At 39.9% G+C, this 14,385-nt stretch overlaps 1 protein-coding gene across 9 annotated transcripts in view, besides 1 other annotated feature; it reads left to right on the top strand.

The window, feature by feature from the left end:
• The window catches only part of ARSB (arylsulfatase B), a 208,750-nt gene that overhangs the window by 92,963 nt on the left and 101,402 nt on the right, over window positions 1-14,385 (top strand). For 8 of the 9 annotated variants that reach the window (XR_001742066.3, XR_001742065.3, XM_011543390.2 and 5 more), the window contains one exon: window positions 7,169-7,412. Coding sequence is in view for 7 of the 9 variants with exons in the window: in XM_011543390.2 (XP_011541692.1) it covers window positions 7,169-7,412 (244 nt within the window). In the remaining 2 variants the exon portion in view is untranslated. Of the gene's footprint in view, window positions 1-7,168; window positions 7,413-7,867; window positions 8,698-14,385 lie in introns of those variants that run through there. The other variant, XM_011543393.3, reaches the window with a different exon arrangement.
• Window positions 5,386-5,435: an enhancer, noted in NCBI's record as "active region_22720". NCBI's record gives its function as "activates an Ori minimal core promoter by ATAC-STARR-seq in GM12878 lymphoblastoid cells {active_cell/tissue: GM12878}" and the evidence as "EXISTENCE:reporter gene assay evidence [ECO:0000049][PMID:35858748]".

The raw sequence follows: 14,385 nt of genomic DNA, 5'->3' as shown, positions 1-14,385 counted from the left end.
AAGATGAGATTTGGGTAGGGACACAGCCAAACCGTATCAATCGGTTATTTGGTGCCTGGCTGCCAGTCGCACTCCACCAGAACCCTCCTCTTGCTAGCCCAGCTGGACATTCTCCTTGCTGGTGCTCTTAGTCAAGATGTAAAGTCTGGTTAGTGTCTGAGCTGGTGGTCAGAGCACTTATCTGCCCTGAATGCTGCAAACCATTTTAAACCCCTACGAATAATCAAATGTGTATTTGAACAAATCTTCAGTTTCTGGTGTTTAATTTGAATCCCAGGCTATTGTTATAGTGTTTTTTTCTATGATAATTGATGTCCTTTATTTAAACTCATGGGAACAGAAAGGAGTTATCCTGGCTCTCCCCTGATAGTAACAACCCCCCTCACAATTCACTGTGTTGTTGCACTTCTCAAGAAATTACCTATAGAATAGAGAATGCAGGCTGGGCGTGGTGGCTTCTGCCTGTAATCCCAGCACTATGGGAAGCCGAGGTGGATGAATCACCTGAGGTCTGGAGTTCAAGACCAGCCTGGCCGACAAGGCGAAACCCTGTCTTCACTAAAAATGCAAAAATTAGCTGGGCATGGTGGTGGGCACCTGTAGACCCAGCTACTCAGGAAGTTGAGGCATGAGAATCGCTTGAACCCTGGAGGCGGAGGTTGCAGTGAGCCAAGATTGCACCACTGTACTCCAGCCTGGGAGACAGAGTGAGACACTGTCTCAAAAAAAAAAAAAAAAAAAAAAAAAGAATAGAGAATGCAATCTAGGAGGACTCTATGCTTAGAATACTTTGGTCTTATGAAAACGTGATGTTTTGGAGTGTGGCTATGATACTTAAATCTAATATATGTTTAGTAAATATCCAGATAGGAGCCTATTCTGTTCTGTGTACTTTGCTGGTGCTGATGACTAGCATACATAAAAATAGCTAATATTATTTAGCACTGCTTCTATGCCAGGCACAATATTAAGGTGGGTATTTTGTTATCCTCATTTCTCAAATAAGGAAACTTAGGCTCAGAGATTGAGTACTTGCCCAAACCCACAGTGCTTAGCTCCTCTCAGTTCCCTGCATTTCAGTGAAATTAGACATGGGGCAGTAGGGGTGATAGGGGAAAGTGATGATGGTCATAAAACACCTAGACCTATACCTTTTTGTTTATACCTAGTCATCATTTAGCTCAAGTTTTCCTTAACTTCTGGCAGCAGAGTATACCTAATAGTATAACTAGTCTTTAATTAAGAAGCAGCCTTGACACAGACACCCTAGTCTCTAATGTGCGATTGCATAAGGCCTCCTGCTCCCTGTGCCTGGGCTCTCATCTCTCTGGTGGTCACTTGGCTGGCTCTGTCCTGTCCTTATGGTTTCAGCTCCTCCACAAAGCCCAGTCATTGCCTCCCATGAATGGAGAGATCTTATCTCTTTTTCTCACTCACTCCGTGAGGGACAGGACCTTGTCCATCCTGTTTGCTGCCCTTTTTCCAGATCTGGAGTGGTCCCTGGAACATGGCAGCACTCAAGAAAGATGTGTTAAAGGAATAAGTGAGTTCTTTCTTCCAGGCCAAGACTGATGCTTCTTGAAATGCTCCCAATCAACCCTCTTAGACTCCAACATAACTGACCAGGGACCAGATTAGACAAACAATTCTGATATTTGAGGGTTTGATTTACTTAAATTCTCACTGGGGTCCAAGAGCACCCCTTGCCAGCTCCTATAGTTTAAGCAGCAGTATGTAGAATAGCCAATGAAAAGTCAAGGTCACAGAGTAGCTGGACAAAGGCTTAGAAAAAACAATGCAGTGACCTAAGTTAATGTTTAGTGCCTTTAACCTCTATTTTCGGTGAGTGGCCTTTTCCCTAATTATTTGTTCCTCCAAATCATTGAGCCCTTCTGTGTGGTAGGTCCTGTGCTAGGTCTTGGAAATAAAAACATTAAGAAACTTTTTGCTCTTGAGAAGCAGAGTTCATGGGGAAGACAAAGCCATGAACAACTGATTAACAATAGACAGAGCTAAGTATAGTAGAAAATGTGCACATAAAATGTAGCAGAAATACAGAGCAGAGATGAAGACCATCTAGGGCACTAAGTGGCAGGTTCACAGAAGATATGATCTTTAACCCGTGGCACTTTAGGCAAGGGAGCCAACATGTGCAAAGGCAAAATTAGCATGAAAGGGCATGACATATTCTAACAACAGGGAGAAGTTAGTTCTACGTGACTGAAGCTCAGGGCACTTTTTATGGGGGAGGACAGGAGTTGATACCCAAAAAGGAGGTTGGGGGCAGATATGAAGGATTCTATATGTGGGCCTGAAGTTGGAACTTTTTCCCTGATTGGAAAGCAATCAGGTCTTTAAACATGCATGTGGCCTGATTGATTTTGGGTTTTACAAACACCTCTGGTGGGAACTTGAAGCGGTATATAAATTAGCCCAGGAGCCCAGACAGAGGAGTGCCTGACCTAAAGCAATGGGCTGCAGAAGGGGGGATGATTGGAAAGCTGTTTTAAAGGTAGACTTGGCAGAATCAAATGCACATTCTGTCAGAAATGATTCAATGTAGTGCAACAGGGAAAGAGTAGCCAAGCGTGGTGGCACACACTTGTAGTCCCAGCTACTTGGGAGGCTGAAGTGGGAGGATTGATTGAGCCCAGGAGATCGAGGCTGCAGTGAGCTGTGATCCTGCCACTGCACTCCATCCTGGTTGGAGGAGTGAGACTTTGTCTCAAAAAAAAAAAAAAAAAGATAAGATTTGAGAATATCAGAATGTAATTTGAATATCTAGGTAGATAATGTCTCCAAAATCTTTTAGCAGGAGAAGATTGAATTTACCGAATCCTTTAGATGTGTACTAAGACATATATTAGCACTCCAGTTTGCCTCTCAGTAATTTAAAAAAAAATCCAAAGAATCAACCATCAACAAGCAGATACTTTTCTGGGACAAAGAGGCTTCTCCATTTTTGAAACGATGTTGCCTACTCATCTGTTAGTCACCCTTGCATCAGGGCCGTGTTCAAAGAGATGTCCAGGCTTGGTATGAGGCTGCTAGAGCCTTCCTTGCTTTTCCTTTTGTGATCTTTGAGTCAGGTTGGGAAGGATGACTAGGGTAAGCCCCAGCTGAAGCATGCACAGGGATGTTGGGGTAGAGATGATGTTTCAGGGCAGCCCTCCACGGCCAAGCCACACATTAAATTGTTTGGGGAGTAGTTCTAAAAATTAATGCTGTTGTCATGGTTTCATTTTGATTTTTATCAGCTGGATATGGATGAGGCTTCATTGTCATATACTTAATGTTTTTGCTTAGATCTTTGGCAAACCAATATTTTTCCATGACTTTTTGACAGTTATTTTTGTTCAATAGTGAATAATAAAGTGAGATTTACGGTCTGTATATGATAATGTTTGTCTTACTTTGACATTTCTTTTCTAGACAGTAAAGGCCTTATAATTAGATTTTCCCTGTGCCAAAACATTGCTGCAAAACCATCTCCCTGAAAAAACGTTTCTTTGCTTCTTTTAGGAGCTGGCGTCATCTTATTTTGATTTGGAATTTTTTTCATATGTCAGTCAGGAAATGAAACAAAAATTTCTCTTGAATATGAATTCTTAACAAGAAAGAAATTAACTTTTGCCGAAAAATAAAACTAGAAGGGAAAATGAGAAGAAACGTCTTTGAAATGCTGATGGTTCCATTGTCTTTTTAAATTCTAATTTATGTCAAACTTCAGTGAGCAATATAGGAAACTCCCTTTTCCACCTTGTTGCAAAAGAGCTTATTTTATTCTTGTTGCTACTCCTACCAGTTTTATGTTGAATTCTTTGAAATACCCAGGAGACTGAACTAGAACTTATGGACCGCACCCTATTTCTCATATAGTTAACCAACTAATGTCCTAACTCAGTGGATTCTGCCCCATTGCTGATAAGTGGCAACCATCGGCCAGGTGCCATCTGTGGGGGTACAAGGACAGGCGAAGCTGAACTGCCCTTCTGCTGAGGCCACATCTGCAGTTGGCGCTATGCCAGGAGAGCCTTGGAGAAGTTGCACATGTGTCCATTGACAGTGCTTTCTCTTTGGAGTGCTCTTAAAAAGAATAACTGTTGATAGAATCGCTTATTGCTAATGGCAAAACATCACAGAGAACTAATTGCAAAAACAGTCACACTTACTACATCCGTGGCCTCCCCTAATGATATGTGGAAACACCTTCCCTTTCCTACAGTAGCAAAAGTGGCCAAATTCTCTGTACAACCCGGAGAATTTTCCTATCTGAGTCATAACTGAAGAGCTGCTCCTAGAATCAGATTCCAGATCCAGCCACCCTTGTCCCCATCATCTCCACTCTTATTTCCACCACCATCTTCATCCAATACTTTCCGTTGAGCACTAACAAATATGTGCAACTGAAGGACACTACATAATACCTCAGAGAAGTGTATCTATTTAAAACAGAGACAACAGGCTTCTTCTAAAGTATTGAGCCAGCATCACTTACAGCAATCCAGACAACAGAGTGAAATAATCGTTCTGTCTCAGCCTTTCTTGATATCACGGGAAGAGTGTAGGTATTTCTTTCCAGTGTATTTTTGTATCACATGAATAGCACCTTCTTCTAAGTTTCGATACATTGGTTATGAGTGATTGCTACTCTGTGCAGTATCATGAACATGGAGGAATTTCTTCTTTCTACTGATGGTGACCTTTTGTTGTTTTGAATATACGGGTCTGCTCAGCTTCAATATGAAATGGAATGTGTATTTCAACAACTGGCCTGAGTGAATGTTTGGGCCTTGAGTTTTTGTCAAGAAGTGATGTGGGGAGGTTTGAAGAAAGATTCTTGTAAGTCTGTGATGTCAAATGATGAGATTGTCTGTCACCGACCCATGTGTTGAAGAATTGTTTCCTCACCTGATCTAACTCAAGACTCTTCTCTACTCCCTTTCGAGAAGCACAGAAAAGAACTGAGAACTGGTGTGTTAAGGGCGCCACCAAAAGTTTCCTTGGCAGTAGAGCCTTGAATTTCTTCCCCAACAGCAGCTAAGCCTTCTCTAAAAGGAATTACCATTACCTTGAAATAACTTCCTATGTACACTCATAGGAAGAGTGTACACTTTGCTGAGGTTGACCGTACTTGTGGTTTTCATCAGGAAGTGAAAGTTTATGTGGCCTACATGTGTGAGCCCACTCTATACTAGGGATAGCAGGAGTGTGGTGCTCTAGGGGCAGAGGCCTGGGGTGTCACACAGACCTTGTTGGAATCCTAGCATTGCCATCTATTCACTGTTTGGCTTTTTCAAACTTCCTTTTAAAAAACGTGACAAAATGGTTATAATACTAAACTATTTGGGTTGTTGTAAATTTTAAGAACAACAGCAGTTACTACCATGTATTGAGCACTTAGGTTGTGTCAGGTACCCTGCCAAGAAAAGATCATAAGCAATGTCACTTCATTTCCATCATAATACATGAAGTAGTGCTATGGTTTGGATGTGGTTTGTTTCCACCAAAGCTCATGTGGAAGTCTAATTGCCACTGCATCTTGGGAGGTGGGGCCCAGTAGGAAGTGTTTGGGTCATGGGGGCGGGTTCCTCATGAATAGATCAATGCTGTCTCCCAGGATCGAGTTCTCAATCTCAAGGGAATGGATTAGTCGCCATGAGAGTGGGTTGTTATAAAGTGAGGCTCTTCCTGCTCTTTGGTCCCTCTTTACCTGCACCTGCCTCTCCTTCCACTTCTCTGCCATGTTATGATGCAGCACAAAAGCCCTCACCAGCAACTGATGCCAGTGCCTAGCGCTTGGACTTATCAGTCATCAGAATTGTGAGCCAAATAAACCTGTTTTCTTTATAAATTACCTAGTCTCAGTATTCTGTTATAGCAACACAAAATGGACTAAATCAATTAGTGATTGTTATTTCCACATGAAGACGAGGAAACTGAGGTGGTATATCACCCCTGGCCACACAGCTAGTGAGTGTCTGGCCTCAGGCTTCTATTCCAGGTCTGCCAACCCCAGATTCTGTGAGAGATAATGCAAAATCAGAGTCACTCCTAGTGCAGTCAGTGCTTAACAAGTGTTCATTCTCTTTCCTCCCAGATGCATCTTGTAGCTTTGATAGATCTCTGATTTCTTAATAAATTTTTATATGTAACATTCTATACAGCAGGTGGTCTGTCATACTGCCCTCATGTGGCTCATTTGGGTAATAGTGGGTTTTTTTTTTAAAGTTTAATGCAAAATATGTGTTATTTAAAATGTGTCTCTAAAGTCACCTAAATCTGTGGATACTTTGGGAGTTTGTATGATTCTATAACCCCAGTATGTAAGAAATGGCACTTTTTCTTTTCTACTGCCCACTTTAATGTCTTAACTCTGAGCCCTCATTTGGCTGGGAAGATACTTAACTTCAGTTACTCTAGTAGCTTCTACCCTGTCTTTGCCAAGATCTCCCATTCCTTCTGTTGTCTTGGAAGAGAAACCTTCTCTTCCCTGGTATTGTGCATAATGAAACTTTATTTCACCATCCTGTCAAGAGGGGAAAAATTTTTTTCACAATTATATTTTTCCATCTAATGTTCTGTTTACAGAGACATTTATCAACCACTGGAGAAATACTCAGCTTTCACACTTAAGAAAGAGATATTATTGCCAGAGTGTAGAGTGTTAATTCATTTTCCAGTTTAAATTGTAGAATTTTTTTTCCAAGAGGAAAAGAAAAAGGTCAGTTTTTGTCTCCACCTATAAGGAGCATTAAGTCACTAAGTGAAATTCCCTTAGTTTTCTCTTCATGCATGGAGAGGGTCCCAGCTTCCATGGACTCATTCTCCCATGCTATACAAAGTTACACAGGTGTATTTAAAGTTTAGTGGATTGTTTAGCTTAGGGATCTCCAAAGCGCATATCATCGAGGGACTGCCTTGTTTTCCAGTGGCTCTCTCCATGGAGGATTTAAAGGTAGATATGTATCACACTGGGCCTTACTTATGTCTGAATAATGAAAGGCTATGTCAATGGGAAAAGGGAATTTAGGGTGGGAAAAGGCAAGGAATTTTCTTTTTTTTTATTATTTAAGCACCATTTAGTAACAATGTACATACAGTCTCTGTTCTTAAATGTATTTAAGAGTTAACATCATCCTCATGCCAAGACCTTACTGTGTTTCAGATAACGGAGGGCAGACTTTGGCAGGGGGTAATAACTGGCCCCTTCGAGGAAGAAAATGGAGCCTGTGGGAAGGAGGCGTCCGAGGGGTGGGCTTTGTGGCAAGCCCCTTGCTGAAGCAGAAGGGCGTGAAGAACCGGGAGCTCATCCACATCTCTGACTGGCTGCCAACACTCGTGAAGCTGGCCAGGGGACACACCAATGGCACAAAGCCTCTGGATGGCTTCGACGTGTGGAAAACCATCAGGTACCTACACCCTGCCCTTTTTCCTCCCAGGACAGAAACTCCAAGAGCAGCCTGACTCCATTGAGCAAGAATGATAGCTTTTGTGTTAAAATGATAGTTCAGCTTACAAATACATGATTTTTAAGAAAAATAAGTGCCTTTAGAGACATTGTAAGTATATATATTTTTAAATTATAAATTTGAGATTGTGGGCCTGTGTTTTACGTGAAGAACAAGATTGTCCTCAGCCCATCGCCCTCCATGGAAGGTCTTTGAAGCTGCGACGTTTTGCTTAGAAGTAGGCTAGGGTATTGTTAGCTTCCTGCAGGGGGTCAGGGAACTAGTCCTGTTGTCTGCTGGAAGAATGGAGGACAAAACAGCAGGGAAAAAGCTGGAATAGGAACTAGGGATATGTTTATTTCCATTTATTAGCAAGTATCTAACAAGCACCTACTATGTGCCATACCTTCTTCTAGATGCTGAGAAATTAGGAATGAACAAGTCAGTCAAGATCCTGCCTCTCAGGAAGCTGTATTCTAGTTGGGGGAGAAAGATGTTGGACAAATGAACACACAGATGAGCAAGATGACTGCCAGTTGTGATAAGTGCCAGGAAGGCAAAAAAGTATGTTGTGATAGATAGAGCTGGCTGATGTGAAGAAGATACATCAGGGAACAGGACCCAGACTCAGATTTGGAAATCGTGATGGTCTTTTTCCTGTTTAACCCCCACAGTGTAGAGCAATAGCCCCCAAGGTTGGGAGGCACATGCCTTAGAGGTTGCAAGATGTTCCCTTGGAGTACAGGAAGAAAATTTCAATCTTGTATTTGTATTAATATCTAATTTCATCTCATCCTTTTTAAAGTATATGTTTTTTAAGACACATAATATATTAGTAGACTTGTACATAAATCTAATTTATAAATAAATATGCATATATTGGAGGTATTATTTTTACGGGTGGAATGACCTAGTGCAATGGTTTTCAACCTCTGTTTGGTGTTACAGCTCTGTTTGGGGTTAGCAGCTGATTGACTGTCCCTTAGTGGCCAGGGGGAGAGGACTTCCTCAGGCCATCTCTTCATCCCACTCCAGGTATCCCAGCTCAAGAATAGCAGGTTTCAGGTCTCTAGTTATAGGAAATACACAATGGAGTATTTAGGAGCAAAAAGCCATGATATATTTAACATACCCTCAAATGGTTCAGAAAAAAATTGTGTGTGTGTGTGTGTGTGTATGTATGTACATGTGCACAGAGAGAATTCAAATGGACTGCAAAATTAAATAAAAGAATATAGGTAAGGTGCATAAGTATTCTTTTGTTATGTCTTATTTTTGCAACTTTTTGTAAATTTGAAATTATTTCCAAATAAAAGTGTTTTAAAAATAGGAAGGTCTGACAGCACTGCACCCACATTTCCAGAAGGCCAACAACTGACTAGAATCAAATAGCTGCTGCCTTCTGTAGATGAAGTATCCACCCTTCAAATCTTCAATCTCTATTGTTCCCAAGTTCCAATACAGATCCACTGCACTCATTTAGGTTACCTACTTAGTCTCTGTAGGCATTTAAGTTTATAGTCCCTGCTGAACATAATCATAGTATTCAACACTCTGGAAATACCATACTTTGACCAATTTCCAGTTGCAAAATATATAGATTATTTCTTATCTTTTTATATTATCAATTTTTCTGTAATTAATAATTAATGTTAAAAAATAGTAGGGTTCAGCAGCCTAAGATTAGTTTTTACAAAGGAAGTTTGATAGCTATTCAAGTTTAAACATTAAAGTTTAAAGTCCTGTGAGTTCAGGAATGGATAGAAGAAGTGTTCAGCCAGGCCGCTCAACCTCTCACAACGTGGAGTCTATGGGTTCCTCTCTAATGGGCCTCACCCAGAAGGGTGAGACTAGGGAAGGTCCTCATCTCTTACAAACCCAAGGGAAAATCTGATTTAATTAGCTTTATAACCTTCTTTCAATTATTTTGCAACTCAAAGTTCCATGTTTTCCTTCGAGAATTTATTAAATTTTAAAGATCACTTTTCAAGCAGCAACATTTATAGTATTGGGTAGCCATTTCTTCACCATTTCTAAACATTATTTTGGTTCTTATGAGTCATATTATTTTCATATTATTTTAAAATCCTCACTAGCCTCAAATTGTTCCCTCTTATTCTTGCCTGAAAAGTTGATTTGTCAGTTTGGAGACAGTGATCAGTTTATGATTTGTCATTTCAAGAACACTCTACAGCATCCAAGTCACAGAAAAAGTAATGCCACTGAACAGCTAAGCTGAGAAGCAAAGCAGTAAAACCTTTTCTCTCACCAGAAATTTTGAAGCTTTGTGCTCATTATGTGCTCATTCATATGCGATGACTTTTTTTTCTTTTTCTTTGAAACATTTCTGCCTCTATCCATGATCTAAACTTGATATGTTAAATTTAAATTTAATTTCCCCAAGCGTGAGTACTATATGTCATTGTAGATAATTTGCAAACTACAAAAAATAAAAATAATTGGCTGGGCGTGGTGGCTCATGCCTGTAATCCCAGCACTTTGGGAGACTGAGGTGGGTGGACCACCTGAGGTCAGGAGTTCAAGACCAGCCTGGCCAACATGGTGAAACCCCGTCTCTACTAAAAATATAAAAACTAGCCGGGTGTGGTGGTGGGCACCTGTAATTCCAGCTACTCAGGAGGCTGAGGCAGGAGAATTGCTTGAACCCAGGAGATGGAGGTTGCAGTGAGCCAACACGGTGCCACTGCACTCCAGCCTCGGCGACAGAGTAAGACTCCGTCTCAAAAAAAAAAAAAAAAAAAAAAAAAATCACTCAAATCTTACCTAGAAACAACTACTATAAACATTTTGTCATATTTCCTTAGAATTTTTCTTTTCAGCATTTTTTTACTACATCTTTTTTCCTTATTTAACAGACCATTGGTTTTTGATTGTGTCATCCAAGAAACTTACTGCAAACACTATTTCAGTCACTGCACATTCAATCGCATGGATATACCTTGATATACTTACCCATTCCCTTGACTTTCTTTTTTAGTTTTTTAAAACATTAGCTCTGAAATGAGCTCTTTCTACATGAACTGTTTGTCTACATTTTGGACTTTTTCCCTTAGATATAAATGATTTGAAATTAAATCATTGAGCTAAAGAAAGTGACCAATGTTGGGGCTTGAAAAACAATACCCCAAACTGGAGGCCCCAGAAGCAGCCTCTACAACAGAAGTTTTTCTCTGACCTCCTCCTGCTCTCTTGTCTCTCAGTCTCATTTTTTCCTGAGGCAAGCCATGGAAACCAGAATCCTTCTTCCCCAGGGCAGGTCATAGAAACCAGAACCCCTTCTCCCCAGGGCTAATCATAAAACCTAGAAATATTATTCTAATTTTCCCTCTGCCCTATTTGTGTAAAAAGTGGCCATAAAAAAGTTATCTGGCCTAACTTGTTTTAACTGTAGGTCATAACATTCCCATTCCAGAGCGGGTCCAACCCCACATCCAGAAGGAAGGAATGCATGCCCAGAGAGGCCGAGAAGAATCCAGAGAGACAGACCTTGCTGGGTTTCCCCACTCAGGCTATTAGCATTAGAGCATACCCTTTTATCCAATCATGTTTCTATATGGCTGTCCATACTTTGTTAAACCTATACATAAAAATGAACGATTTCCTCTATATCTTTGGGTCTTCATTCTAAAGGCTCCCATGTATACACATTAAATACATTTGTATGCCTTTTCTCCTGTTAATTCACCTTTTGTGAACTGATTTTTCAGTGAACTTGCGGAGGGCCAAGGGTGGCCCCTACATGATTTTAAAAGCATTTGATAAACATTACCAAACTGCTTTCTAAAAAGGCTGTATCAATGTACTCTTGTACAGGTGTAGAAAGTGCTCATCTTCCTCATAGCTTTTCCTTATCAAGCTTTTTAAAAAACCTTTGCTAATGTTATAGACAAAATAGTCTTGTATTAACTTGATTTTTTATTATTATGGAGATTAATATTTAACTTTTTATATTCCATTTGTATTTTGTCTTTGAAAGTATTCATTCCATGTGCTTTTCCACTTATTTTACTGAAAAGTAGGTGTTTTTTGTGGATTTGTTTGCTTCTTTATGTCAGGTTTTTGGATTGTTGTATTTCTTGCAAATATTTTTCCTTTTTTTTTGTCTTTTTATTTTGTTTATGTCTTCTACATGGATGTCTTTCCCATGTTTATTTGTCAATGAAATGTTTTTCTCTTGCTTTTTTGTTCAGAAATATTTTTCTCAGCTTCAAATGTGCTAAATATCTATTTTCTTCTAGGTGTTGTGGTTTGAGTTTCTTCCATGTATTTCTTTTTTCTTTTTTTTTCTTTTTAAGACAGAGTCTTGCTCTGTCACCCAGACTGGAGTGCAGTGATATGATCTTGGCTCACTGCGATCTCTGCCTCCTGGGTTCAAGCGGTTCTCATGTCTCAGCTTCCCGAGTAGTTGGAATTACAGGTATGCATCAACATACCCAGCTAATTTTTGTATTTTTAGTAGAGCCTGGGTTTTGCCATGTTGGTCCAACCAGTCTTGAACTCCTGGCCTCAAGTGATCCACCTGCCTTGGCCTCCCAAAGCGCTGGAATTACAGGTGTGAGCCATTGTGCTCAGCCATAATTCTTAAATTGTTGCAAGATGGTGTGCGTGTTATGTGAGGTCAGTGTCTAAATCAGAGGAGTAATGTTTTTTGCAGTTTTTTAAGATTGTAGGCCTCTTTAAGACCGATGAAAACTATGAACTTACAGGAAAAAAGTACCTAAACATAGGCACAAAAATCTAGATATTACCTATTTTGTGATATTAGAAATTGATTACACATTCTTTTCTAAAACATTCTTTACAAGCCTATGCCCCTTTTGCTTATTTTAATGCAAAACTTAATGCCCACTTCATGGTAAAAATAAAACAAAGATTTCCAAGCAAAGCAAATCTTGAACTTTAATTCAGTTTATCATCAACTTTCAATATAAAGGCTGTAGCGGTTTGGCTTGGAGTAGGAGAAAGCTTTGAGTGACTTTGAGATGGCAACATTTGTGGCATGCTTGATATCCAATCATTTTTGATTTTTCTTTTGTTTTGTTTTGGTGGCAAAAATGTTGTAAACCCTGGCTTGCATAAGGACATAATAGCATGTGGAATCAAAGCTTTATAGGACACTTTGCCAGGTGAGGGTGGGATTGAATCGAAAAATAGTTGAATTCATTTTGAGTCCCAAATTTACTGAGGTTATTATCTTTGGCAAAGTTCACATCATTGATGTTTGTCCATATAGCTAAATTTTGGATTACAAATGCACATTTCAACCTTAAGATTATGTTGATCAGAAGTAACCTTTAAGAATTTGGCTCATGTTTGCTTCTGACTGCAGAGAAATTGGGAAAAGTCTAATCACTCTTAGCTCCAAATTGCAGATCTTTCTTCGGTGTTAGCACGTTCTCCTAGCGGCCAATCTCTTATGGAACAGGGGCACGTTCTTCAGTACCGTACATAGTGGTGACTGCGGGGCTTTAACCAAAAGATATGGCCAAAATTATTGTCCAAGTAGGCTAAATCATGAGATAATGGGCTTTCTTTTTTTTTTTTATTTAAAAGTAAAATTTCTGCCCAAAGTTTGATCATACATTTCAAGACTTGTTTTCTGGAAATTCAGCAAATTTCTATTTAGAAAGCAAAAAACCGCTCTCATTCTGTTCCCATTGCTTGAGAAAAATTCCTGAAATAATAATTCAGCCTCGAGCCTAATGAAGTTGGTGCTTCTCACAGCATTAGGCAAGTTCGGAATCGGTGGCAGAACATTTGGCACCCCTGCCTGCTGATACAGAAATCGCCCAGTCACATTGACGTCTGTTGTGTCTTTTCCAAAGCAGCAAAAACAAATGGACAGCCAAATGTCAGAGACACCCGATCTGTGCCCAGAGGTCTGAAACTTTTTTCCAGAAATGGAAATACCACTTTCGAGATGATGGTAGTTTTTGAAAATTTGAAGAGGCTCGTGAAATAGGAATGCCAGTAACGGATGAAAAACAGTTGTCTGTGCTGAGAGCATCAGAAGTTTTATTAGCTGTATAGTTACAAATTTCTCTTAGGACTGCTTCAAAATATTAAAATGTTAGAAGAAATAGTAGTTCTGGAGTGGGTGACATTATTTACAATAGGAGCTCCTTCGACTGCTTCAGTTTTTCTTTGTTGCAAGCCACAGACTATGTTTGCCATTTCTAGGGGACATGACTTCTCTAAGCTCTTTCCAATTCTGTGTAGTTTTTCTGCTTTTCAGCTCAATAATCAGCCTATAGGTTGTTTGAAGACATTTCATAAGGTTGATTGACAAAAAGGAAAACCAAAGGATTAAAACCTTGCAAGTTTCTTTTTAATTATTTTATATTTAATTAAACAATGTAAAACATAAGCAGACTAGGCGTGGTGGCTCACGCCTATAATCCCAGCACTATGGGAGGCCGAGGAGGGAGGATTGCTTGAGCCCAGGAGTTCGAGACCAGCCTGGGCAACATAGCGAAACCCTGTCTCTACAAAAAATACAAAAATTAGCTGGGTGTGTTGGCACACACCTGTAGTCCCAGCTACTCAGGAGGCTGAGGCAGGAGGTTCACTTGAGCCCAGGAGCTTGAGGCTACAGTGAGTTGTGATCATGCCACTGCACTCCAGCCTGGGCAACAGAGCAAGATCCTGTTTCAGGAAAAAAAAAAAGCAATCTCCTGATCATAATGATAGGAATTTCTTTTTTATCATCAATGGGAAACACTTTAAGATGTCATAACATGACAGTGGTGACAACTGAATATTAAAATATCTTAAAAACTTAGTATGTCATTATAAAGACTTTTCCCCCACTATCAATATCATTTCAAGAAGAAAGTTAAAGGAAAAACAAATCTTTTCACCTCAATTTTACAGATGCCATGAAGCCAAATAAAGCATGATGGTCCATGAGCTA

Source organism: Homo sapiens, chromosome 5 (genome assembly GCF_000001405.40).
Source record: "Homo sapiens chromosome 5, GRCh38.p14 Primary Assembly".
In the NCBI taxonomy this organism is placed as follows: domain Eukaryota; kingdom Metazoa; phylum Chordata; class Mammalia; order Primates; family Hominidae; genus Homo; species Homo sapiens.
This window is presented reverse-complemented; position numbering and strand designations above follow the sequence as displayed.